The 24,188-nt window shown below is 41.2% G+C and overlaps 1 long non-coding RNA gene across 3 annotated transcripts, besides 2 other annotated features; it reads right to left on the bottom strand.

Annotated features, from left to right (window-relative positions):
* Nucleotides 1–35: 35 nt before the first annotated feature.
* On the bottom strand, nucleotides 36–22,460 carry LOC105376556 (uncharacterized). 3 transcript variants are annotated; one of them, XR_931039.2, is made up of 5 exons: nucleotides 22,239–22,439; nucleotides 7,036–7,147; nucleotides 2,324–2,461; nucleotides 1,225–1,364; nucleotides 36–178 (listed from the first exon to the last, which is right to left on the bottom strand). It is a non-coding gene; the product is annotated as an uncharacterized LOC105376556 (long non-coding RNA). The 3 variants fall into 3 exon arrangements; XR_931038.3 differs by lacking the exon at nucleotides 36–178 and having other exon boundaries at nucleotides 921–1,364; nucleotides 22,239–22,449; XR_931040.1 differs by lacking the exons at nucleotides 36–178; nucleotides 7,036–7,147 and having other exon boundaries at nucleotides 921–1,364; nucleotides 22,239–22,460.
* Nucleotides 4,121–4,620: an enhancer, noted in NCBI's record as "H3K27ac hESC enhancer chr11:12658689-12659188 (GRCh37/hg19 assembly coordinates)". NCBI's record gives its function as "activates a minimal SCP1, AML or CMV promoter by ChIP-STARR-seq in primed H9 embryonic stem cells {active_cell/tissue: H9 hESC(primed)}" and the evidence as "EXISTENCE:reporter gene assay evidence [ECO:0000049][PMID:30033119]".
* Nucleotides 4,621–5,122: an enhancer, noted in NCBI's record as "H3K27ac hESC enhancer chr11:12658187-12658688 (GRCh37/hg19 assembly coordinates)". NCBI's record gives its function as "activates a minimal SCP1, AML or CMV promoter by ChIP-STARR-seq in primed H9 embryonic stem cells {active_cell/tissue: H9 hESC(primed)}" and the evidence as "EXISTENCE:reporter gene assay evidence [ECO:0000049][PMID:30033119]".
* Nucleotides 22,461–24,188: the final 1,728 nt, after the last annotated feature.

The raw sequence follows: 24,188 nt of genomic DNA, 5'->3' as shown, positions 1-24,188 counted from the left end.
TTTATTTATTTATTTATTTTTAGAGCTGGGTTTTCCCCATGTTGTCCATGATGCACAGCATTCTTAGGCCTGGAATTCTCCACTCTGTGTTCCAAACAGCTGGTCCCCTCAGGCAGAGCCGCAGAGCTCTTCATCTCATGGCCTGCCTCTCCTCTGGGCAGAGACCCTGTGCTATGCACTGGAGTTGGGGGTGGAGACCTACTTATCGATGTGACACCCTTGCTCTATGAATAGGGTTGGGGTGGGTGGATGGTAATCCCTTGTCTACTTGGCTTGACCTTCCTGGCATGGAAACTCTCCTAAGAGCACATGGAATGTGGGCAGAGAGCTATTGGACTGCCAGTGTTTGCAGCTTGCCATGCCTGAGGTAGTTTCTATCCTATGACTGAGGGCTGGGTGGAGAAAGAGTACCCTGGTCATCTCGGATGTGTCTGCCTAGAATACAGCTTCCATGATCCAGAGATGGTGGTGGTATCAGGGATATGGTGGTGGGGGGGGGATGTGGTGTGGGGGGGATGTGGAGGTGGTGGGGGGGATGTGGTGGTGGTGGTGGGGGATGTGGTGGTGGTGCTGGGGGGGATGTGGTGGTGGGGATGATGTGGAGGTGGTGGGGGGGATGTGGTGGTGCTGGGGGGGATGTGGAGGTGGTGGGGGGGATGTGGAGGTGGTGGGGGGGATGTGGAGGTGGTGGGGGTGATGTGGAGGTGGTGGGGGGGATGTGGAGGTGGTGGGGGGGATGTGGTGGTGGGGGGGATGTGGTGGGGGGGATGTGGTGGGGGGGATGTGGTGGGGGGGGATGTGGTGGTGGGGGGGATGTGGTGATGGGGGGGATGTGGTGGGTATGTGGTGGTGGTGGGGATGTTGTGGTGGGGGATATGGGGGGAATGTGGGAGTATGGTGGGGGGAGGTGGTGGGGGGGGTTATGTGGTGATGGGGGGATGGTGGTGGCTATTCTGGAAGTCTTACCCATAAAATAATCTTTAAAAAATGGAAATTTGCTCTGCAGCTATTCCTCCTCTCTAACTTAAAGCAATTTAATGATTCCCCATTGATTTTTAAAATGAAATCTAAAATTCCTATGCTGGCCAACCTATGTAATCTAAGCCTACATCTCCAGCCTCATTTTGAGCCAATTTCATTCTTAGTGTTCTCCCACTGGGAACAACAGTTCTCTCACAGTTCCTCAAACGTGGCAAACTCTGTTTTGCCTCAGGACCTACTCACTTCCTTTTCTTTACATGGCTCATTGCTACTCATTGTCCAGAATTCAGCTTTAGCATCAGTCTTCAGCAAAGCCCACTTTTTGCCTCTTGACTTGTATAGATCCAATGCTCCATTGAAACTGAGATCTTCCCTTTCCACACCTGTAATAATTTAATTATTTCAAGTTGTTTATTATTATTATTATTTTGGAGACAGGATCTTGCTCTGAGACCTGGGCAAGAGAGTGAGCAAGATGACAGCTCACTGCAGCCTTGACCTCTCAAGCTCAAGCGATCCTTCTACCTCAGCCTCCCTAGTAGCTGAAACCACAGGTGCAAGCCATGGTGCCCAACTAATTTTTAAATCATTTGTACACACTCCCTATGTTGATTAGGCTGGTCTTGAATTCCTGGGCTCAAGTGATCCTTCTGCCTCGGCCTCTCAAAGTGTTGGGATTACAGGCATGAGCCACTGTGCCCTGCCTTGTTTCTTATTTAATAACATCTACTTCCCTATTTGATTGTAAGCTCCCTGAGGGATAGTTTTCTATTGTGCATTTCCAAGGAGCTCAACAAAGACCTGACTGATAGCCTGATGGATCCACCATAGAGCCTTTACACAGGGTGAACAATGCCGGATTATCCTGCGGTATGAAGTGGGGAAGAACACAATGGTTGTTAGTAGTTATTTTTTATTTTTCTTCTCTTGAGAATTTATGCAATTATTCTAAAAAATTACGTTTTGGTCAAGGTGTATAGATTCTTTTGGATCTACATTTGGAGGTATATATAGTTTGGCTGCCCAGATCAGGCATCCTTAACTCACAGAGGCAGTGGTAGGTGTTGCTTCTGGTACCTCTGATGCCAATGGGGAAGGTCACTCTTCCCTCCCTTACCTAGATCTTTCTCTGAAATCAAATGAGACATCCTAGATGACAGGAACTTGTGAAGGCCAACACAGAATATGCTGACTCAGATCTCCTCCCTATCACCTCCTTTCTTTTGTCTCATGTAGAATTATGAAAATAATATCTGTCTTGTTTATTGGCACAAGTAGATACTTAATAAATTCCTCTTTTCTTTTCCAGTACACAGTTAATTGTTTTAGTTCAGTTACATACCTGTGAGCTTCTAAAGTTCCTTCCATTGTTTTCTAGCTCTTGTCTAGTTATCTCTGGAAAACTCCTCAATAACAATATCACAGCCCCCCAAATGGCCATACTCGTGCCTTCGGTGTGTAAATATTGCTGGTGTTAGACCTGTATTGAGGAAGAGAGAACAGGGCATTCAGAAGAGAAATCACATGTAATTTAATTGCATTACTCTCTGAGTACCTTGAGATGTCCACAAGTCCCTTTTAGAAGCCCTGCAGATATAGTCAACTAGTTTTTCCTTCTTTTCTAAATAAACCCAATATGTGGTTTTTGAATGAATGAATAAATGAACAATATCTGCTTATCCTCAAGGACCAGCAAAATAAGTAAAAATTTCCTTATTAACTTGTGTTGCTTTCCTGTTTTGTTTAATCGTCGCAACTGTGGCCACAGAATACCTCACAATATTCAGTGGCAAATGTACAGCATGTTAGCTTCAGTATGGATTTCTCTCTTTGCTGGATTTTCAGGGTATAGGGAGGATTCACCTCTATATGTACCATTGTTTCTGACTATGGGAAACAAGGTCTGTGTTCCAAGCAGATTGGATCATATAAAGTGGGATGTAACTACTCTGAATTTCAAAACTACCTACACAACACTCAGACATCAGAGAAGGGTAATTCTGGGGGGCTTTCTGACTTTTACTTGACCTTCCTGTTCTATTTACATTTTAAATTGTCCATTTAATGAAATGTAAAAACCAACTCCACTATTGTGAGTCTAGTTTTCTGTCACCCATGGTTCACATCGAACCTCAGTTATTTGAATCACATTGTCACAGTAATTAGCCCAGAGCATGAAATTACTAAATGAATGAGTGAATGAATGCCACACACAGTACAGTTGAAGGGGTTGGAAATTTCGTACTGGAGAATATTCAGATAAAACTTGATGGTTTCTTCAAATATTTGAAAGACAGTTTTTTGAAAGATTCAAAAGGTTCATGAGGCAGGACTAGGCAGAAGCAAGACCAATGCACAAAACTTTGTTCAGTCCGACAAACATAGCATGCCTACTGGGCACCATGTTTGCCCTGTGGGATATGGAATCGTTAAACAGTATAATCCTGCTCTGAGGCTTTGGGGTGGGTAGGGGCCTGTGGTAGGAATGGATTTCTATAGAGGGAACAATCTTACTGGAAATCAGGGGCTGGGAATTTGGGAATTAGTTTAATTGTAACTTAAGTTGTATGTTGATGTGGAGAGACTGCAGGGGGTAACTAATGGCATTTAATGGGGGTGTGGGGGGAATCGTTTCAGTGGAACCACCTCTTGGCACCATCACTTGTGTGGCTTAATATCTAATGGTCTCTGAACTCACCCCCTCAAGGCCCTCACTTTTTTTTTTTTTTTTTTAAGACAGAGTCTCACTCTGTCACCCAGGCTGGAGTACAGTGGCACGATCTCAGATCCTCAGCTCACTGCAACATCCGCCCCCTGGGTTCAGGTGATTCTCCTGCCTCAGCCTCCTGAGTAGCTGAGATTACAGGCACCTGTCACTGCCCCCGACTAATTTTTTGTATTTTTAGTAGAGACGGGGTTTCATCATCTTGGCCAGGCTGGTCTTGAACTCTTGACCTCGTGATCCACCCACCTCGGCTTCCCAGAGTTCTGGGATTGCAGGCGTGAGCCACCGTGCCCGGCCAAGGCCTTCACTTCTTAAGGCAACATGGATGACTTTGCTTATTAGGTGAAAGTCAGGAAGTTTCAGGAAAGAAAGATTAATATTTTGGGGTATTTTCCTTATATCTTATTTGTAAGTGATCTTCCCCCACATAAAAGCAGCCTGTTAAATAATTCCTTACCTTTATGAGAATTTTCTAAAATAGTACAATCAGAGATACCCCTATTTTGTTAGACATTTTGATTGGGTTGGTTTAGACAATGTGGTCACTCTATGTGTGGATTTGGAGGGGGCTGCCTCATAGCCATTGTCTTGAGAAAAAGCCTTTGCTAAGGGGCTGTGGTGTGCCTTGGCCCCAAGTGTTCGAATTAACTAGCGGTGTAGGAAGCAGGCTCTTTTCCTTCTTCTTTTAATTCCCCAAGGTCCCAGGGAAGGCCTGTGATCCACAGCTCTGAGTAGGAAAGGCAGGCAGGGAGGCTGGAGGCTGTCACAGGGCTGGAAGCAGGGTGGGCAAGACCAGGTCCATGGGGAGCCTGTGAGAATGTCCAGGGCAGGACTGGGAGGGAATGTCAGAGAAGAGGGCAGGATCCTGACTGCTGAGCAGCACGAGACTGGGACTGGGCAGAAAGGAGGCCTGAAGCTTAAATAATATCACATGAACTCTCTCGGTTTGAGGTTTTATCAAAGAGGCTTTTGAGGCCTGGAGAATTCCAAACCTCCTGGAAGGGGAAGTTCGCAGGCCTGGGGTCCTGAGATCTTACTTTAGGAGCCTTTCACCCCTCCCAGTCAAGGCCCTGGGCTCTTGCCCATTCATAGGCCCATCCTGATTGTACCTCACAGTCTGCCTGGGGAATGTGAGCCAAGGAAATGCATGTGTAATGAGATTCGCACCCACATTTTCCACACCCTGTCTGGGGACACCAGCTCTGACAAGCATGCGTGTGCTTTTGGGATTATGACCAGAATATGCATAATCAGAGATATCCCAGAAATTTGGCATCCATGTGGCCAAAACTTTGAGCATTGGATCCCAGCTTCTGTGGTTCTCACAAGCTTAGCAGCTGCCTTTTCTTAAGTTATTGTCTAAGCTAGGTTCATTTCAGGAAACAGGCAGGTGACAGTGGGAATCTGTGATGATGCTGGAGGCCCTAAGGAGTCTCTACTGAATAATCATGTCTTGGTGCAATTCCAACTTCAGGTAGGAAAGTTGGGATTGAGAAGAATCTCTCAATTCTTGATGAGAATGCTCCTCCAAAGCAATGTTGCTAGTATAAGGCCATTTTTGTCTTTTAGCAACTTTTTTTTTTTTTTTTTTTTGGCAACAGGGTCTTGCTTGGTTGGTCAGGCTGGAGTACCGTGGCACTGTCATGGCTCACTGAAGCCTCAACCTCCTGGGCTCAAGTGATGCTCCCTCCTCAGCCTCCCTAGTAGCTGGCACTACAAGTACACGCCACCGTGACTGGCTAATTTGTTTTAGTTTGTAAAGATGGGATCTTGCTTTGTTGCCCAGCCTGGTCTTGAATTCCTGGCCTCAAAGTATTCTTCCCATCTTGGCCTCCCAAAGTGCTGGGATTGCAGGTGTAAGCTACCACACTCAGCACAACATTTTTTTTTTAATGATAATACTCACTTTGGTGAAGGGTTGGGGTGAGATAGATACTACAAGTAGGAATATATGTTAATGAAAGTTTTTTTGTAAAAGACATTTGTGGCTGCGCATGGTGGCTCACACTTGTAATCCCAGCACTTTGGGAGGCTAAGGTGGGCAGATTACCTGAGCTCAGGAGTTTGATACCATTCTGGCCAACATGGTGAAACCCTGTCTGTAGTAAAAATACAAAAAATTAGCCGGGCATTAGTGGCGGGCGCCTGTAGTCCCAGCCACTTGGGAGGCAGAGGCAGGAGAATCGCTTGAACCCGGGAGGCGGAGGCTGCAGTGAGCCAAGATGACGCCACTGCACTCCCGTCTGGGCAACAAGAGTGAAACTCTATCTCAAAACAAAACAAAAAACAAACAAAAGACATTTACTAGTCTTGAGACTAGTCTTTGTCTTTGTACTTGAGTCTCAAGTACAAAGAGCCTTGAGAAATTAGACAGATTTCAAGACAGCTCTGATTACACATATTCTGTTTTATAATGCACTTTTGCCCAATAATTCTGTTTATAGTAATCCCCTTTCAGGAAATAATCAGATATATAGAGAAAGAATTGTGACGTTTATGCCAGTATTGCTCATATCAAAATGTGGAAATTTACTTCAGTGTCTGATAATAAGAGAATAGTTAAATTAGTCACATTAAACTTATTTGGTGAAATATTAGGCCTCCGTGAAAAAAATGACACTTAGAGAAAATATATACACAGTTTACAGAAAATACTAATTTCCTTTTTTTTTTTTTTTTTTTTTGAGATGGAGTCTTGTTCTTTCACCCAGGCTGGAGTGCAGTGGCATGATCTCGGCTCACTGCAACCTCTGCCTCCAGGGTTCAAGTGATTCTCCTGGCTCAGCCTCCTGAGTAGCTGGGATTATAGGCGCATGCCACTATGCCTGGCTAAATTTTGTATTTTTAGTAGAGACGGGGTTTCACCATGTTGGTCAGGCTGGTCTTGAACTCCTGATCTCATGATCTGCTTGCCTCAGCCTCCCGAAGTGCTGAGATTACAGGTGTTAGCCACCGCGCCCAGCTAATTTTCTTAAATATGTGAAAAAGTGCTCCACCTCACTCCAAATAAGAGAGATGAAAAATTAAAGCAACATGAGATACAATTATCACTAGTGAAAGAGTAAAATGGTTGATAATTTGTGTTATTGAGGGAGAGAGAGAACTGGAACTCTCATATACTGTATTAGTTACCTATTGTAATATAACAAACTCTTAAACTTAGTGGCTTACGACAATAATAAACATTTGTCATGTCTCCTAGTTTCTGTGTGTAAGTTATTTTGGAGCATCTTAGTGGGGTCTTTCTAGCTTGGGGTATTTCATGAGATTGCCCTCAGCTGAAAGCTCGACTGGATATGCACAGTTCCCTTCCAAAATACCTCACTCACATGGCTGGCAAGGCGATTCTAGTTGTTGGTGGCAGGTCTCAGTTTCTCCCCACAGGGACATCTCCTCAGGGCTTTCTCATGACATGTGTTGTCATGACATGGTGGCTCTCTCCTGAGTAAGGGAACAGATTTTGGCTGCAAGACCTTTTATAATTTAGCCCCACAAGTCACACACTATCATCTCCACAACACTCTATGCATCACATAGACAAGCTCTGATTTAATGTGGGAGGAGAGCACTTGGGGATATGAACCAGATGAAGATTATCTGGGCTATCTTGGAGTCCCACATACTCTGGAAGTGGGAAGATATTTGGCAATATCTATTGAAATTTAAAATGTGCAAACCCTTTGACCCAGGAATTTAACTTTTAGGAATTTATACTGCAAGATTTGCATTTGTGTCTAATGATATATATAAATATATACAAGGAAAGTTATTACAATATTGCTTTAATGCAAAAGCTGGAAATGCCCTAAATGCCTACCAACAGGGCATTGGGTGAATAGTATGGGACAGCTTTCAATGTAACATACTATACAGCTGTTCAAAACAATGAGATTGTTCATTCCACTCATGTAGTTCTGTGGAACTATATCCTAAATATATTAAATGGAATGTGGGTGGGTGTGTATAAATTGATAAACTCTATTAGGAAGGACATATAAAACCCTGTTAACACTGGTGGCCCATTTGGGGAGCAGGAATAAAGGGAAAAATTATTCACTTTATGTTCTTTCATATTTTTCAAATTTTGTACCATATAGACATATTACCTATTCATTAATTAATAAAAAATTAAATGATTTTAAAAGTAAAGAAGTAGAAATACATTTTAAAATGATTGGAAATGCTCATACTATACAAATAATTTAAAAATACCATAGCAAACCATATTTGTGATATAATTTAATTTGTTTTAAAAACATTGTACATAGGCCGGGCACAGTCGCTCACATCTGTAATCTCAGCACTTTGGGAGGCCAAGGTGGGAGGATTGCTTGAGCTCAGGAGAGCGAGACTAGCCCAGGCAACAAGGCAAACCCCATCTCCACCAAAAAATACAAAAGTTAGCCCAGCACGATGGCATGTGCCTATAGTCCCAGCTACTTGGAAGGCTGAGATAGGAGGATTGCTTGAGCCCCGGAGGTAGAGGTTGCAGTGAGCCAAGATCACACCGCTGCACTCCAACCTGGGCAATAGAGCCAGACCCTGTCTCAAAACAAAACAAAAATGTACATAGGAAAAGACTGAAAAGATCATACCAAAAGTGACAATCAATGATAGATAAAGTGTTTCCCTTAACTTTATCTTCTAGATTTTCTACAATGACTATTTTATTTCTGTAATCAGAACAAAAAACAGACAACTTATTTCTGGTTAATGAGATGAAGGGAAACTTATTTTCTTCTTCATTCTTTTTAGTATTTTTCCATAATGATTTTGTATTACTTGTAAATGCAAAAGAAAAAAGATTTAAAACCTGCGATCCAGGGTTCTGGATCAGAGTTTCCAAAATTATGCTTGGGGATCTGAGCAGTGCCCTGAAGAGTGAGAAGCACCTTTTCCTGGACTTGCTCTGGCCAGACTGGGCTCGACCCCACAGTGTTCATCTGCTAGCCCTGGAGAGCAGGGAAGAGAGCTGCTTTTCTTTCCCAGGGCTGGTTAGCACTGTTCACAATCAAAGACTTCAGATTGTTGAACAGCCACATTTGCTGCTGCAGAGGCACCCTAGGATGGAGCAGAAGTAGAGTGCGAAGTTGGGAGCAGCCAGAAAGACAGAGGCCAACGGAGAAATCCAAGCACAGAGCGGGTTCAGGCTGCAGCCATTTGGGAGACAGTGTTCTAGATTGCTTGGAACACTTCCTGACTCTAAGCTCTTTTACTCTCCAAGGCCACCACGTGAGTATCTCCCATGCAGGAAGTCTTTGCCTCTTTTTCTCCCCAGGACTTTGCTTGACCGTGAGTGCCTACATCTGTGAAATTCCTGCCAGAGGACCCTGGCCCCTTGGTTCCACACACACACACAAAAAGCACTCATATAAATATAGTCTGTTAAATTCAATAGTGGAAAAACAAAGGGCAGAGGAAAGACAATTCCTGGATGCTGAGCTGAGATGGCTGCCGTATACTGCCGAGACAGCTACCATGGACTGTTGTCTAGGTTGTATACTGCTACATCTAGTAGGACATCCTTCATGAAATAAACATTAATTTGTATATTTATTATAACATTTCCAGATGATGGTTATAAATTGTTTTAACAAAATTAGTATATTATGATTTTCAGAAAGGTGTTTTGAGAAGGGACACCTTTTTCTAGTTGGTTAATATGGGTCAGCAGCATCTGTGAATTTTAATTCAGTACTTAATTTAGTACTGAATTTTAATCTTAGTTCAGATTTAATTTTAATACCTTGCCCTTGTCTACAAACCTAGCCTAGTCTGCCATGAGACTCCTGGAGGTGGGCAGAAATACTGGACAGTACTGAAAAGACAGTTTCAGGTAAGGACAAAAAGTAGAATGGGAAGTTGGGAGCAGCCAGGAAGATGGAGGCCAAGGGGGAAGTTCAAGCACAGAGCAGGTTCCAGACTGCAGACATTTGGGAAACTGTTCTGGCTGCTGGAAATGAGGCAGATACTGGAAAGCAGGCAGAACCATAGACCTTCCTTGCATCTCAGATGTGCATAAGAGATGCTGTCAGTTCTCACTTCACACTTGGATTTTTGGCTTCTCCAGTTATGAAAAACTGTGTGCTGCTGTGTGCGGATTTTGAAGCAATTATTGAGATCTAAGGGCTCTATTAAGGGCAGAAATTGCTGCCTCACTAGGCAGGCTTCAGTGACTTTGTCGCTATGGTGTTTAATCCTGACTCATGGGCCCACATGCTCTTTCTCAGGTTGTGGAGTGTAGATTCTGTGATTTATCGCATCTGGCTGCTCACATCCTTTGCACTGTGTGTGTGTATGTGTATAAGTGTGCATGCAAGCTCACTTTTGTATAATTGCACGCTGGCTTCCCTCCAAAATTCTTGCTGTTACAAATTACTTTTGGCTATGTTCAGGTTCAAGGTAGGAAAATCCAAGAGACAAATATAGTTGAAATGTGTCAACAGCCTTAGGCTGCCATGTTTGGGGAAGTATTTTAGTAATGAGAGTCCTCAAGTCTGAGAATGGCCCCATGGTCTACCACAAAGGGCCTCTTTCTCTCTCTTCCCTCTTTGCTCTCTATCGCCTCAACTAAACTATTTGGGCAGAAAGAGCAGGGAGTCACTGAAATGCCTGGAGCCCCTGGATGTTCCTTTATGGAGATACCTGAGACTCCCTTTTCTCATAAGGCCCTTCTAGAAGTCACTCCTAATGTTCTGTCTGAGCAACCCAGATCCCCTTGTTGAATTCTAGACCTGTATATTTGGCTGGACATGGAATATCTAGGAGGAAAAGATGTATCAAACTCAATATATGCCCAAAGTCAACACATCAATAACCTTCCCTGTTTGCCACTACTGTCTCCTCCTCCCATGATTCCCTATCTTGGCGTGTTGCCTCTGAGAGTGTGTTAGCAGAACTCCAGCCACGGGGAGTGTCATTAACCAAGGACTCATCTTCTGTGCCCCAAAATCTATCACTGTGTTTGCCCTGCGACCATGCTTTCCACAGGCTGTTCCCAGCAATAATTAAGCCTAGTAAAGACACCAAGGCAGATCTGTTGCTGAGAGACATGGGACAACTTTGACAACTGACTTTGGCTCAAGGACTTCCTGATGGCCTTGCAGAATCTTCCCTAGGCTGCATGGCAGTCTAGGATGTTTTTATTCAACCTTTCTTCTGTCACCCCAATACTTGGGATCTCCTAGACTTGTAGTCTGATGCCTCTTCCAGATTTTTGCAACTCTTTCCCCATTTTCTTAAAATCTTTGCACATTTAGTTACATCTTGGCATATTTCTCAAGGACCCGGAATAGCAAACGTAGCATTGCGAATGGGATAGTAGTGCTACTGGTCCTGTTCCATCTTGAAAAGACCAGCAGTTTGTCCTCACAAGGAGAGAGACCTCTTCTGAGCACAAGTTTGCCTTTCCTGTGTTTAGATGGCATGGTATGGGATATCATCAGGGGCTCACTCTTGCCAGGGGACACAACGAGAGTCCTACTGAACTACAGGACATTATCATTAAGACCCTCTTTCATCAAAAGATACCATTAAGAGATTGAAAAATCAAGTTTACACAATGGGAAAAAAAGATTTCTGATATACGCACCTAATATGACTTGTGTACAGAATATAGGAATTCTTCCAATGCAGATAACTTAATAGAAAAATGGACAAAGGACGTAAACAGGCACTTCAAAAAAAGAATACCCACATGGCCAATACACATTTTTAAAAGTGTTAAATTCTGCTAGTTACTTGGGAAATGTAAATTAAGACCTCAATGTGATGCCATGAGAAATGGCTAAAGTGAAAATGCAAGACAATACCAAATGTTGACAAGTAATTGGAATTGAGCAACCAGAATTCTCACACTGACACTGGAAGTGTGTATGGGAATAACTATTTCGGAAAACTGACGGTATCACTAACCTGTACATGTACATTTCCTATAGTCAGCAATTCCACATGTACATATGTTCAACAAAAAACAGGACACGAATATAGCTAGCAGCCCTATTCATAATGTCAAAAACAAATAATGACACAAATGTACATTTATAGGAGAATGGATAAATAACTCTTCATACACTAGAAGATAGCAATGAGGATGAATGAACTACGATTACATGCAATAACATTGATAACTCTCACAGACAATGGCGAATGAAGAAAGATAGGCACAGAGCATATGAGGTGATTCATTTGTGAAATGCTTAAAAATAAACAAAACTCGTCTAGGCTGTTAGAAACTGGGATGGTGGTTATCTTTAGGCTGTGAGTAGTGACTGGAACTGGGCAAAAGGGTGGCTTGTGGAATGCTGGTATGGGTTCTGTTTCAACATCTGGGTACTAATCACTCATGTGTGTTCACTTTATCAAAATCCATGAAGCTGTTCTAGAATTATTGACTTTATGTATGTTTTTCATTAATAAAATTTACCAAGAAGTTTACTTTTTCTCAATATTTTCATTATAAAAAATTTAGAAAATATAGAACAGAAAAATTGCAATAAGGCTAACCTACTTTTAATATTTTAATGATTATCCTTTTGATTTTTTCTGTATGCACTCAAATGTTGTCCTCTGCAACACTCTCCTTCAAATAAAATCAGGACCATGTTCTAGATGCCATTTTGTAAGTATCTTTTAACACTTTGACTGTATATTCAACCATACACATTGTAAACACCTTTCCCTGTCATGAACATTTGTTTATCACATTTAAAAGGGCTGCAAGTCATCCACTGAATTGGGAGTTCCACTATCTGTAGAAGAACTCATTTTTCATGTCCAGTTTGTTTCCAGTTTTTCAATATTGTAAACAATGTGATAATCAGTCTTGTAGCTAAATCTTTGCCCTACATCTTTGGTTATTTCTTCTAAGTCTTAGAAATTGTGTTTGGGTATAAAGAATGTGTATACTCTTGAAGTTTATACATCCCATAGTTAATTTTTTAACAAGTAACAATTTCAAAGAGGGCATGGCATGATTTGAACTGGGTTCGTATCTGGTTGTTTGTGGCATTCTAAGAGCAACAACAATGATGACAATGCTAATAGTTACTATGGTGCCTATTATTTATTTCCCACTAACAACCTGGTTAGGTGATTTTTAGTAGATACATTTAGTAGATACAAATGAGAAAAGAGGTTCAGATACGTGAAGAATCTCGTTTAAGTTCTTTCAGAATAAAGCTGGATACAAAGCCAGGCCTGCCCGAAACCAAAGCCCATAGCTACCATGATGTCTCCCCAGAGAATGGGAAATCCTATTGTCAAGTTGTACCAGGAAGCCCAACTGAATTAGTGATTCCTATAAGTTATATCAAAAGTTCATAATTATAGTGAGAGTTGATGCTCAATTAATACTAATAGAGATCCAAAAAGAAGGATTGAGACAGGAGAAGAGAATTTGTCTGGAAGGGTGGGTGCTTACGGAGTCTGCTGGAAGTTAGCAGAAGATAAGAAATTGAAATCCTGTGTTAACCCACTTGCTGATGGCATGTCACAAACTGTATGAGCCTTTTTAGCCATCAGGGTACCAGGTTGTTTGGCCTCATTCCCAAGATCGATAAGCACATTCCATTGAGACCAGATGTAGCTGGGAAAGGCAAAAGCCAAATAGTTTCCAAGAAGACCCAGAGAGGGTAAAGAGGTTTTTGCAAGCTTTTAGGATGTGTCTTGGAGTTTTTGTGAAAAGCCAATGAAGTGAGATTGGGGGGATATTTCAGTGAAACTCCGGATCAAGCTGCATCCGTTTTTTCCATGAGGGTATGAGTGCCAGTTACTCAGAAGTGGCAAGAACACTGTGTGTGTGTGTGTGTGTGTGTGTGTGTGCGCGCGCGCGCGCGCGCACGTGTGAGCATGGGTAGCATCAATGAAGAAAAGGCTGGGATTGGCAAGTGTTCAGGGAAACTGGATAGGTATGTTTATCGATAATTTGCCTCAGTCCCTCTCCTTGCTGACTTACATTTCAGTTGATAGGGTGAGTAGCTCAGACAAGTATAGAGAAGAAAGAGGCAACATGGAGAAGTGGAAGAGAAGGCTTTGGTAGGCCATGGATCTAGCCTTTAATTTCAATTTAGCCACTGGTTAGTTCCTCATAAGACTAATACTAGCTAACATTTATTGAGCCTCATATGTATTTTATAATCTGTGCTAAGTGTATGTTCTCTATCTCATTTAATCTTCAAAACCACTCCATAATTCCATTTAGTCTCCTATTGTCCCATCTCATTGATGAAGAACTGATGTTCAGAAGCGTAGGGCACTTATTGGAGATCCCACAGGATTTGTTGAGAGTCAGATTTGAACTCGGGCCCTTCAAAGTCCAATGTCCCTACCTTCAAAGGCATGACTTGGAGGGTATTTTTAAAACTGAGGTTTCTGTTTCCTTTCCTTTAAAATAGAAATAAACGGCCGGGCGCGGTGGCTCACGCCTGTAATCCCAGGACTTTGGGAGGCCGAGGTGGGTGGATCACGAGGTCAGGAGATCGAGACCATCCTGGCTAACACAGTGAAACCCCGTCTCTACTAAAAATACAAAAAATTAGCTGGGCGTGGTGGCGGGCGCCTGTAGTCCCAGCTGCTCAGGAGGCTGAGGCAAGAGAATGGCATGAACCCGGGAGGCGGAGGTTGCAGTGAGCTGAGATCGTGCCACTGCACTCCAGCCTGGGCGACAGAGCAAGACTCCATCTCAAAAAAAATAAATAAAAATAAAATTAAAAAATAAAACATAAATAAAAAAAATAGAAATAAAGCCAGCCATGGTGGCTCATGCCTGTAATTCCAGCACTTTGGGAGGCTGAGGTGGGCAGATCACTTGAGGCCAGGAGTTCGAGACCAGCCTGGCCAACATGGTGAAACACCGTCTCTACTAAAAATACAAAAAAATTAGCTAGGCATGGTGGCATGTGCCTGTAGTCCCAGCTACTCAGGAGGCTGAGGCAGGAGAATTGCTTGCAGCTAGGAGGCAGGAGGCAGATGTTGCAGTGAGCTGAGATCCCACCACTGTACTCCAGCCTGGGCAACAGAGCGAGACTCCCCCGCCCCCCCCCCCCCCCCCCGCCAAAAAAAAAACCTAGTCTATGGCATTGTCTGGAGGCCTAAATTAATATGGTATTTTAGACCACAGTCTGACAGGTAGCAGGTCCTGAATGAATGTTACCTTGTCTCCCTCCCCAGGACTTTCAGAGAGAGAGAGAGCACGTAAAAAAAACCACACCACACTAAAGAACCAGAAAAACATCTGGTGGCCTGAGTAAGGCTGGATTAGATAGGGCAATACTATAAACAAGAAGTAGGTTCAGATTCAACTAGGAATACTAACAGTATGGAGGATATGGGGCTCAGAACTTCACGTATACTGATTTCATCACAAGTTTGTGGGAATGATGGTGTATTAGTACGTTCTCGCACTGCTGTAAAGAAATACCTGAGACTGGGTAATTTATAAAGAAAAGAGGTTTAATTGGCTTATGGTTCCATGGGGCGTACAGGAAGCATGGCAGCATCTGCTTCTGGGGAGGCCTCAGGGAGCTTTCATGGCTGAAGGCAAAGTGAGAGCAGGCGTCTTGCATGACAGAAGCAGGACCAAGGAAGAGAGTGGGGAGGTGCCACACACTTTTAAAAAATCGTATATTGTAGGAACCCACTCACTATACAGCACCAAGGGAGGATAATGCTAAACCATTTATGAGACCCCCTCAAGACGCAGTCACCTCCCACCAGGCCCCACCTCCAACACTGGAGATTACAATTTGACATGAGATTTGGGTGGTGACAGAGATCCAAACCATTTCAGATGGTATATGTCTAATTGACAAATGAAGAAATGATGCCCTAAAGGACTATCCCTAATAACTTAGGGATATGTTGCTGGGATTCCGTCTGATGGGTGGGAATGTCTTCCATGTTTTTATTGTTTTTCAAATTGAAATTCACAAACCACAAAATTCACTTTTAAAGTATACAATTTAGTGGTTTTTAGTATATTTATAAAGAAGTGTAACCATTACCACTGTATGACTATCTAATTCCATAGTGTTTTCATCACCCCAGAGAGAATCTTCATACTCATGAACAGTCATTCCCCATTCCCCCACCCCTCAGCCCCTGGCAACCACTAATCTGCTTTATGTTTCTATGAGTTTGCCTTGTCTGGACATTTCATATAAATAGAATCATAAAATATGTGACCTTTTGTGTCTAGCTTCTTTCACTTAGCATAATGTTTCAAAGTTGACCCATTGTAGCATGAATCAGACTTTTATTCCATTTTATGGATCAGTAACGTTCCATTATATGAATATCACATTTTGTTTCTCCATTTATCACCCGATAGAAGTTTTGGTTGTTCTCACGTTTTGGCTATGATGAGTAAAGCTGCTATGAACATTTGTGTATATACTTCATGTGGACTTATGCTTTTAATGTTTGTATATACATTAAGTGAAAGAAGTTAGATATATATACTTGGTAGAATTGCTGAGTCATATGGTAATTATGTGGTTAACTTTTTGAGGAACTGCCAAAATGTTTTCCAAAGTGACTACAACATTTTTTGACGTCAGAAGCAAATATATGGGGGTCCCAATTTCCCTACATCCTTGTCAGCACTTGTTATTTGTTTTTTTCATCATAGCCATCCTAGTGGATGTGAAGTGGTAGCTTATTGAGATTTTTATTTGCCATAATTTGACAAATTATGTTGAATGTGTATTTAGAGAAATATCTTCTGTTCATTTTTAAATTGGATTACTTGTCTTTTTGTTATTGAGATGTAAGAATTCTTTGTATAGTCTAGATACTAAATGCTTATTAGATATATGACTTGTGATATTTTCTCCCATTCTTTGGGTTGTCTTCTCATTTTCTTGATAGTATCTTCTGATACACAAAAATTTTAAATTTTGATAAAGTCCAATTTATCTACTTTTGTTACTTAAGATTTTGGTGTCATTATCTAATAATCTTTTTCCAAATCCAAGATTATGAAGATTTAACCCATGTTTTCTTCAAGCGTTTTATAGTCTTAGCATTTTACATTTAGTCTTTCATCTATTTTGAGTTAATTTTTATATATGGTTTGAGGAAAGGAGCCAACTTAATTCGTTCGCATTTCGATGCCTAGTTGTCCCAGCATCATAAATTGAAGAGACTGTTCATTCTACATCAAACGGTCTTAGCACCCTTGTCAGTAATTAATTGGCCACATATATGGATTTATCTGGATTCTCAATTCTATTTCATTAATCTATTTGTCTATTCTTATGTTAGTACCACACCATTTTGATTATTGTAGCTTTGTGGTAAGTTTTGAAATCAGGAAGTGTGAGTCCTCCTTTGTTCTACTTTTTCAATATCTGTTTGGCTATTTTCAAGATTATTTATATTTTCATAAGAATTTTAGGGTGTTTGCTAATTAAAATACTGCTGGGATTTTGATAAAGCTTGTGTTGAATCTATAAATCATTTTGAGTAGTGTTAGCATGTTAACAATATTATATCTTTTTATCCATGAACATGAGATTTCTTTCATTTATTTCCTTCTTTTATTTTCCTTAACAATGTTTTGTACTTTTCAGTGTACAAGACTTCTTTTTTAAAATTTATTCCTAAGTATGCTATCTATGAATAGAAGTAGTTCTACTTCTTTCTTTTAAATCTGATGATTTTTTATTTCTTTTTCTTGCCTAGTGCCTTGACTAGATTCTCCACTACAATGCTGATTAGATAGAAGGGATGAGATAGACATTCTGGTCTTTTTCCTGACCTTAGGGGCAAAGCTATCAGCTTTCACCATTAAGTATGATGATAGTTGTGGGTTTTTCTTAAATGCTCTTTATCAGATCAAAGAAATTCCCTTCTATTCCTGCCTTCTTCAGTGTTCTTATGAAAGGTTGTTAGATTTTGTCAACGCTTTCTCTGCATCTATTGGCAAAGTAATGTGGATTTGTCCTTTAATCTATTAATGTGATTTAGTACATTGATTTTTTTTCATGAGCTGAACCAACCTTGCATTCCTGGGATTAATCACACTTTGTCATGGTGTATGATCCTTTTTATATGCTGCTGGATTTGGTTTGCTAGTATCTTGTTGAAGATATTTGTATATATATTCATAAGGGATATAGCTTTCTGTAGTTTTCTTGTGAGTTGTCTGGCTTTGGTATCAGGGTAATTCTGGCTCCAAATAATGAGTTAGGAAGTGTTTCCTTCTGTTACTGATGAATTGCCTATGAATACCTTCAAATGTGTCAAGTTCTGCTGCATGCATTTCTGGGCTCTGTTGTTAAGTACATATATGCTTATAATTGTTTTGATGGAGTGACCCTTTTATCATTATAAAATGTCCTTTTTTTCTCCAGTAACAATTTTTAACTTAGTCTCTTTTGTCTATACTGCAACCACTCCAGCTCTTTTGTTTACTGTTTTCATGGTACACATATTTCCATCCTTTAAACCTATTTGTGACTTTGATTCTAAAATGTACCTTTTGTAGACAACATACATTTGAATCATGCACCCTCCCATCATAATTCTAGTCTTTGTCTTTTAATTAGAGTGTTTAATCAGTTTGTATTTAATATAATAACTGGTAAGATTTACATCTGCCATTTGTTACTTGTTTTCTATATGTATTATGTCTTCTTTGTTTCTTCATTCATTCCCCCATTACTGCCTTCTTTTGTGTAAAATGGATATTACTTAGTGGGCCATTTTAGTTGACCATTTTACTTTTTTTTTTTTAGTGGTTACCCTGGGTGTTACAATTAACATCTTTTTTTTTTTTTTTTTTTTTTTGAGACGGAGTCTCACTCTGTCCCCCAGGTTGGAGTGCAATGGCACAATCTCAACTCACTGCAAGCTCCACCTCCTGGGCTCATGCTGTTCTCCTGCCTCAGCCTCCTGAGTAGCTGGGACTACAGGCACACACCACCATGCCCGGCTAATTTTTTTGTATTTTTAGTAGAGTTGGGGTTTCACCATGTTAGCCAGGATGGTCTCGATCTCCTGACCTCATGATCTGCCTGCCTCGGCCTCCCAAAGTGCTGGGATTACAGGCATGAGCCACAGAGCCCAGCCACAATTAACATCTTATAACAATCTAATTTGCATTAATACAAAGTTGATTACAACAATATATAAAACTTTCCTCTTATATAGCTCTAGTATCTACCCTCTTATTTGTGCTGTTATTTTCATATAAATTACCTCATTATACATTGCATGGTCTGATACATGACTGGTATACAGATTCATAATTATTGCTTTATGTAGTTGTCTCTTAAATAATATAGTAGAAAACAGTTATAAATAAAAGATATATTTACATTGTCTTTTATATTTAGTTTTTACCAGAGACTTATATTTCTTTATGTGGACTCAAGTTATTGTCTAGGGTCCTTTCATTTAGGCAGGAAGAACTCCATTCTCTGTTTTTGTTTATATTGGAATGACCTAATTTCTCTTTCATTTTTAAAGGACAGTTTTGCTAGATACAGAGCTTTTGAGTCTTTCAGGTCTTTGAATATGCCATCCACTGCCTCCCAGATTCCATAGTTCCTGATGAGAAATAAGTTAATCTTAATGAAGACCACTTGTGCTGTATTGCTTCTCTCTCGCTGTTTTTAAGATTCTCTGTTTGTCTTTCGACAGTTTGATTATGATGTTTCTACGTATGAAACTCTTTGAGTTTACCCTATTGGAATTTGTTGAGCTTCTTGGAGGTGTAGATTCACGTTTTTTAAAATCAAATTTGGGAAGTTTTTGCCCATAGTTTCTTCAAATATTATTTTTCCCCTTTCTTTCCTCTCTTTCTGGGACTCTCATGAATATATTGATACACTTGATTGTGTCCCATAGGTCTCTGAGGCTCTTTTTCTTCTTTTTTTTTGTTCCTCGGTCTGAATAGATAGTCAAGTGCATAAAAATGACAGAATGGGAGTGAAACAACCTAGAGGTTTGTTAAAATTGTTTGTGAAATTGTTGTTTCATTGTTTGTGAAAATTCTTCCTCTAGTGAATGTGTCCACAGACAGGCAAGGCCCTCATAATGCCTGCTTTGAACATGGTGGGTTCAAAGCAAACAGATGCAGAAACAGTTCACTCTTTCTTCACTTTCCCTGAGACATCTCCTTAAATTCCTTTTCTCCCTAGGACCTAAGGGACTCAGCATCTCTATTTTCAGCTTGATCCTTTCTCTTGAACCATAGGCTTTTGTGTCCAACAGCTGAAATTCAGATCCAGATCACTCTGACTGCAAGGTCTGTGAAGTTGGTCTGATTCCTATGTTCCTTTTCTATTACTTTCCTAAACCCTCAACACGGCCTCTTTCACAATGACTTAACTCCTTGATGGACAGGTTTGTGGTAGGGTAAGGTGGGGAATGGGGCAGATAAGGAGAGCTGCCTGTCTGGAACTGGATCTGGATGAGAAACCAAAGTCAGCTTCATGTCATTAACAATTTGGTTTATGACTATCCTGGCTATGCCACTTCAAGCCTTTTGAAAGGTCTCCTTTGCCTTATGTACTCCTGATTACCAAACCCAATCCTAGAACAATGAAGAATGGGCATGAAATATTTACTCTGCTGAAGGGATAATTTGAGACCAACATAACAGGATAATATGGGGGAGGAAAGTCTCTCCTTTCCTGCTGCCTACTCAGGCAACTCTGCAAACGGAGTATGGGGAAATAGGAGGAGTCTTCTAAAAATCCTAGGATTCACCCAGTTTTTTTTTTTTTTTTTTTGAGACGGAGTCTCGCTCTGTCGCCCAGGCTGGAGTGCAGTGGCGCGATCTCGGCTCACTGCAAGCTCCGCCTCCCGGGTTCACGCCATTCTCCTGCCTCAGCCTCCCGAGTAGCTGGGACTACAGGCGCCCGCTACCACGCCCGGCTAATTTTTTGTATTTTTAGTAGGGACGGGGTTTCACCGTGTTAGCCAGGATGGTCTCGATCTCCTGACCTCGGATTCACCCAGTTTTGTAGCCAGCAGACTGGGAGTCATCTTCAGCCTCTTCTTTCCTCTTTTCTTCCTTCTCCTTTCCTTCTTCCTCTTTCATTTCCTTTCTTCTTTCTTCCCTCTCTCCTTCTCCATCCCTTTATACATGCAATAAGCCTAATACCTCTCTATTCTTTCACCTCCATGCCTTAGTCAAAATCTCATTGCCTTTTCCACCTGGAGAAAACTGAAACTTGTTCTGAATTGGTCTTTAACTCCCATCTTCAATTCCCATCCACCTTCCACACCAAATCAGAGATAGATTTTTAAAACCCAGATCTAAGGGGACTGGATACCCTTATAATGTAGAAGAGGCACAATGAGTACACAGCCAATCCCACACAGTCAATGCATGTTCATTCTGGTTTAAACAGAAAAACCCATCTTGTAGCAACTACTTATAAGGAAATCCCAACATAACCCCCTTTTGTTTGTAGACTAGCTTCTGAACTTCCAGTTGAAACTGCGTATCACTCCTTGTTTGAGCTTCATAGATTTTTCTGGGTAAGGATCACACAACTTGTCCTCCCATTTCTTCCAGGGTTTACGCATATATTTCTTGTTTATGACTGTTTCCAGACAGATTTTGTCTCAGTTTCAGCAATGCATATCAAAATGGTTCAAGAACCTCACCTTCTACTTAACCCTTGTCTTACAGATGCTGTTTGTCAAGAGACTTTTCTCTGGGATCTAATCCTAAAATGCATGGGCTGGGCATAGTGACTCATGCCTGTCATCCAAGCACTTTGGGAGGCTGAGGTGGGTGGATCACCTGAGCCTAGGAGTTCGAGACCAGCCTGGCCAACATGTTGAAATCCCATCTCTACTAAAAATACAAAAATTAGCCAGGCATGGTGGTGCATGCCTGTAGTCCCAGCTACTTGGGAGGGTGAGGCAGGGGAACCGCTGGAACCCCGGAGGCAGAGGTTGCAGTGAGCAGAGATTGCGCCACTGCACTTCAGCCTGGACGGCAGTGAGAGTCCGTCTCATAAATGAATGAATTTAATTAATGAACGCATGTGGAGAGTCCAGGGATTTTAATGTGTTTTGAGTGAGAGAGATGTAAGGTGTGTGCTAGATCATGCTGAGACATCTTCTTAGACCAGAGAGAGTTGAGTTGGGCCTTTAAGTATAGGCAAGACTAGGAATGGTGCAAAAGAGAGGAAATGTTTTTCCAGATTCAGAAAGCAAGGTGAGAGGTTCCCAGCCCTAAGTGGACATAAATGCTGCACATGTGTAGCAATAAAGAGGTAATCTGATTAGAGCTGCATTTGGGAAATGTGGAAAGGTAGGAAATCATAGCAGAGCAGTTTTAGTACTGGGAATACTTTTTGAATTCATCTAATTAATCATTCCCCAAACTACATTTCTTAGGACACTCATATCTCTCTAAGTATTAATAAATATTTCCCAATCAAAAAATTTAAGAGGTCCTATGGTCAAATCCATCTGGTGAATACTGTGTTAAAGTCCTCAGGGAAGGATGTCGCAAATGTGCATTATGAGTCTCCAAAGCAAGATGTATTATTCAGAATTTGCCTACCTTATTTGTCCATGGAGTCCTGTTTTCAAGAAGGTTCAAGCAAATATATTAAAAGGAGAATGTCCTGTGAAATACAGGCAGTAAAATGTTGATCAATCCAATCTTCTTATTTTTTTAAATGTTGCCCTGAGGGAAGAAGTGCTTGCTTAAGGTCATTCCTTAAGCTGGAGACTGTGCTTGGGCTAGAACCAGGCCTCCTGATTCCAGACATAGACCAATTACAGTGGTCTTGGTTGCCATGGATATAAGAAAAAACACTAGATGCTGTAACAATGCCCAAATTTCAGTGCCTTGGCTCAACAGAATTTTATTTTTCATCCATGTGGCAGTGTAGTGTGGGAGTTCCTGGCCAGTGGGCAGCTTGCTTCCTGTGGTTAATCAGAAACCCAGACCCCTACAATTGTGTGGATCTGCAATCAACTGGGGCCACAGAGTTGATAGAAGAAGGAAACATAGAGAAGCCCCACTTGCTTTTTAAGGGCTCTGGCCCTGGAATTAGATCTTACCCCAGTCACTTCTCAGCTGTGCTTCTCCGTCACTGAACTGCTTTTACCTTCGGTTTCTTTATCTGTAAAGTGGGGGCAATTATAGAACTACCTCATGGGATTGTTATGCACAGTAACTGAGTTAATATTTGTCAAATACTTATCTATACCTGGTACATAGTATGGGCTTTATAAGTACTTTCTAGATAAAATAATAAAAACATTAAAAAAGACTTCTGCTCACTTCATTAGCTATACCTGGCTGCAAGGGGAGCTGTTTTCCAGTGCCAACTCCACATTGTGGAACTGGGAAGTTCTGAATTTTTGGCAAATAGCTGACTATGTTTGCCAAACATTAGAATTTGTGTCTGAACAGGTGGGTGATGGAAATTTTTGAAGGTTTTGAGAAGAGAAATAAAATATGAATAAGCCACTGCAGATATTCCTCTCCTATCTCAAATCTTTTCTGTAAAATTTGAGTTATTGAAGATAAAATTATATTAGACTGTAAACATGTATGACAGAGAATACGTGAATTTTTTTTTTCTTTGCTCACTACAACCTCTGCCTCCTAGGTTCAAGCGATTCTCCCACCTCAGCCTCCCAGGTAGTTGGGATTACAGGCACCTGGCACCACGCCCAGCTAATTTTTGTATTTTTAGTAGAGATGGGGTTCCACCATGTTGGCCAGGATGGTCTCCAACTCCTGATCTCAAGTGATCCGCCTGCCTCGGCCTCCCAAAATGCTGAGATTACAGGCAGGAGCTACTGCGCCCGGCCTGGAGTATGTGAATTTTTATTTGTCATAAGGATTTTAAAATAAAACAGGACAATGTCTCGTCACATACATTATATCTGCTTCTAAGCAAAATGAATAAATGGCTACTGCCAAAATCATTGAGGAGAAGAAATTTAAATTTTCCAGAGAGAAAAACCATAATAATAGGAAATTAATTGTATAGGGTCTTTATTGCTAATTTAATGTTTTTAAAAACTAATGCTATCTGATGTGCTAAAGTAATTTATTTTCTTTGAAAATTAAAAAATATTTATAAGAGATGTTAATGGTCCTCAGCTTTCCCATAAGGGGATATGTTTCTCATCTTGAAATTCTCCTATTATAGAAGCAGGAGCTATTTGGATTGTTCACACATACTCCACTTCTCTGCGGGCACATAGTAGGATAGCACCTTCCTGCCCATTTTTGAAGATAGGCATGGGTCATGTGACTTGTCTTGGCCAAAGAAATGTGAATGGCCATCATGGATATCACTTTCAGGCAGAAGATTTAAGTATCACGGTGTGATTTGTCACGTTTCTTCCTTCAGCTGTGGGGCTTATGACCCATCACAGCCTTCTTCCATGCAGGTCTGAGTGTGTAAAAAGAATGCAGTCCCACTGCCAATCAGAATTGAATATGCAGCGTAAGAAAGAAAGAAACTTTTGTTAAGCCAATAAGACCTAT

This window comes from Homo sapiens, chromosome 11 (genome assembly GCF_000001405.40).
Source record: "Homo sapiens chromosome 11, GRCh38.p14 Primary Assembly".
NCBI lineage: Eukaryota > Metazoa > Chordata > Mammalia > Primates > Hominidae > Homo > Homo sapiens.
This window is presented reverse-complemented; position numbering and strand designations above follow the sequence as displayed.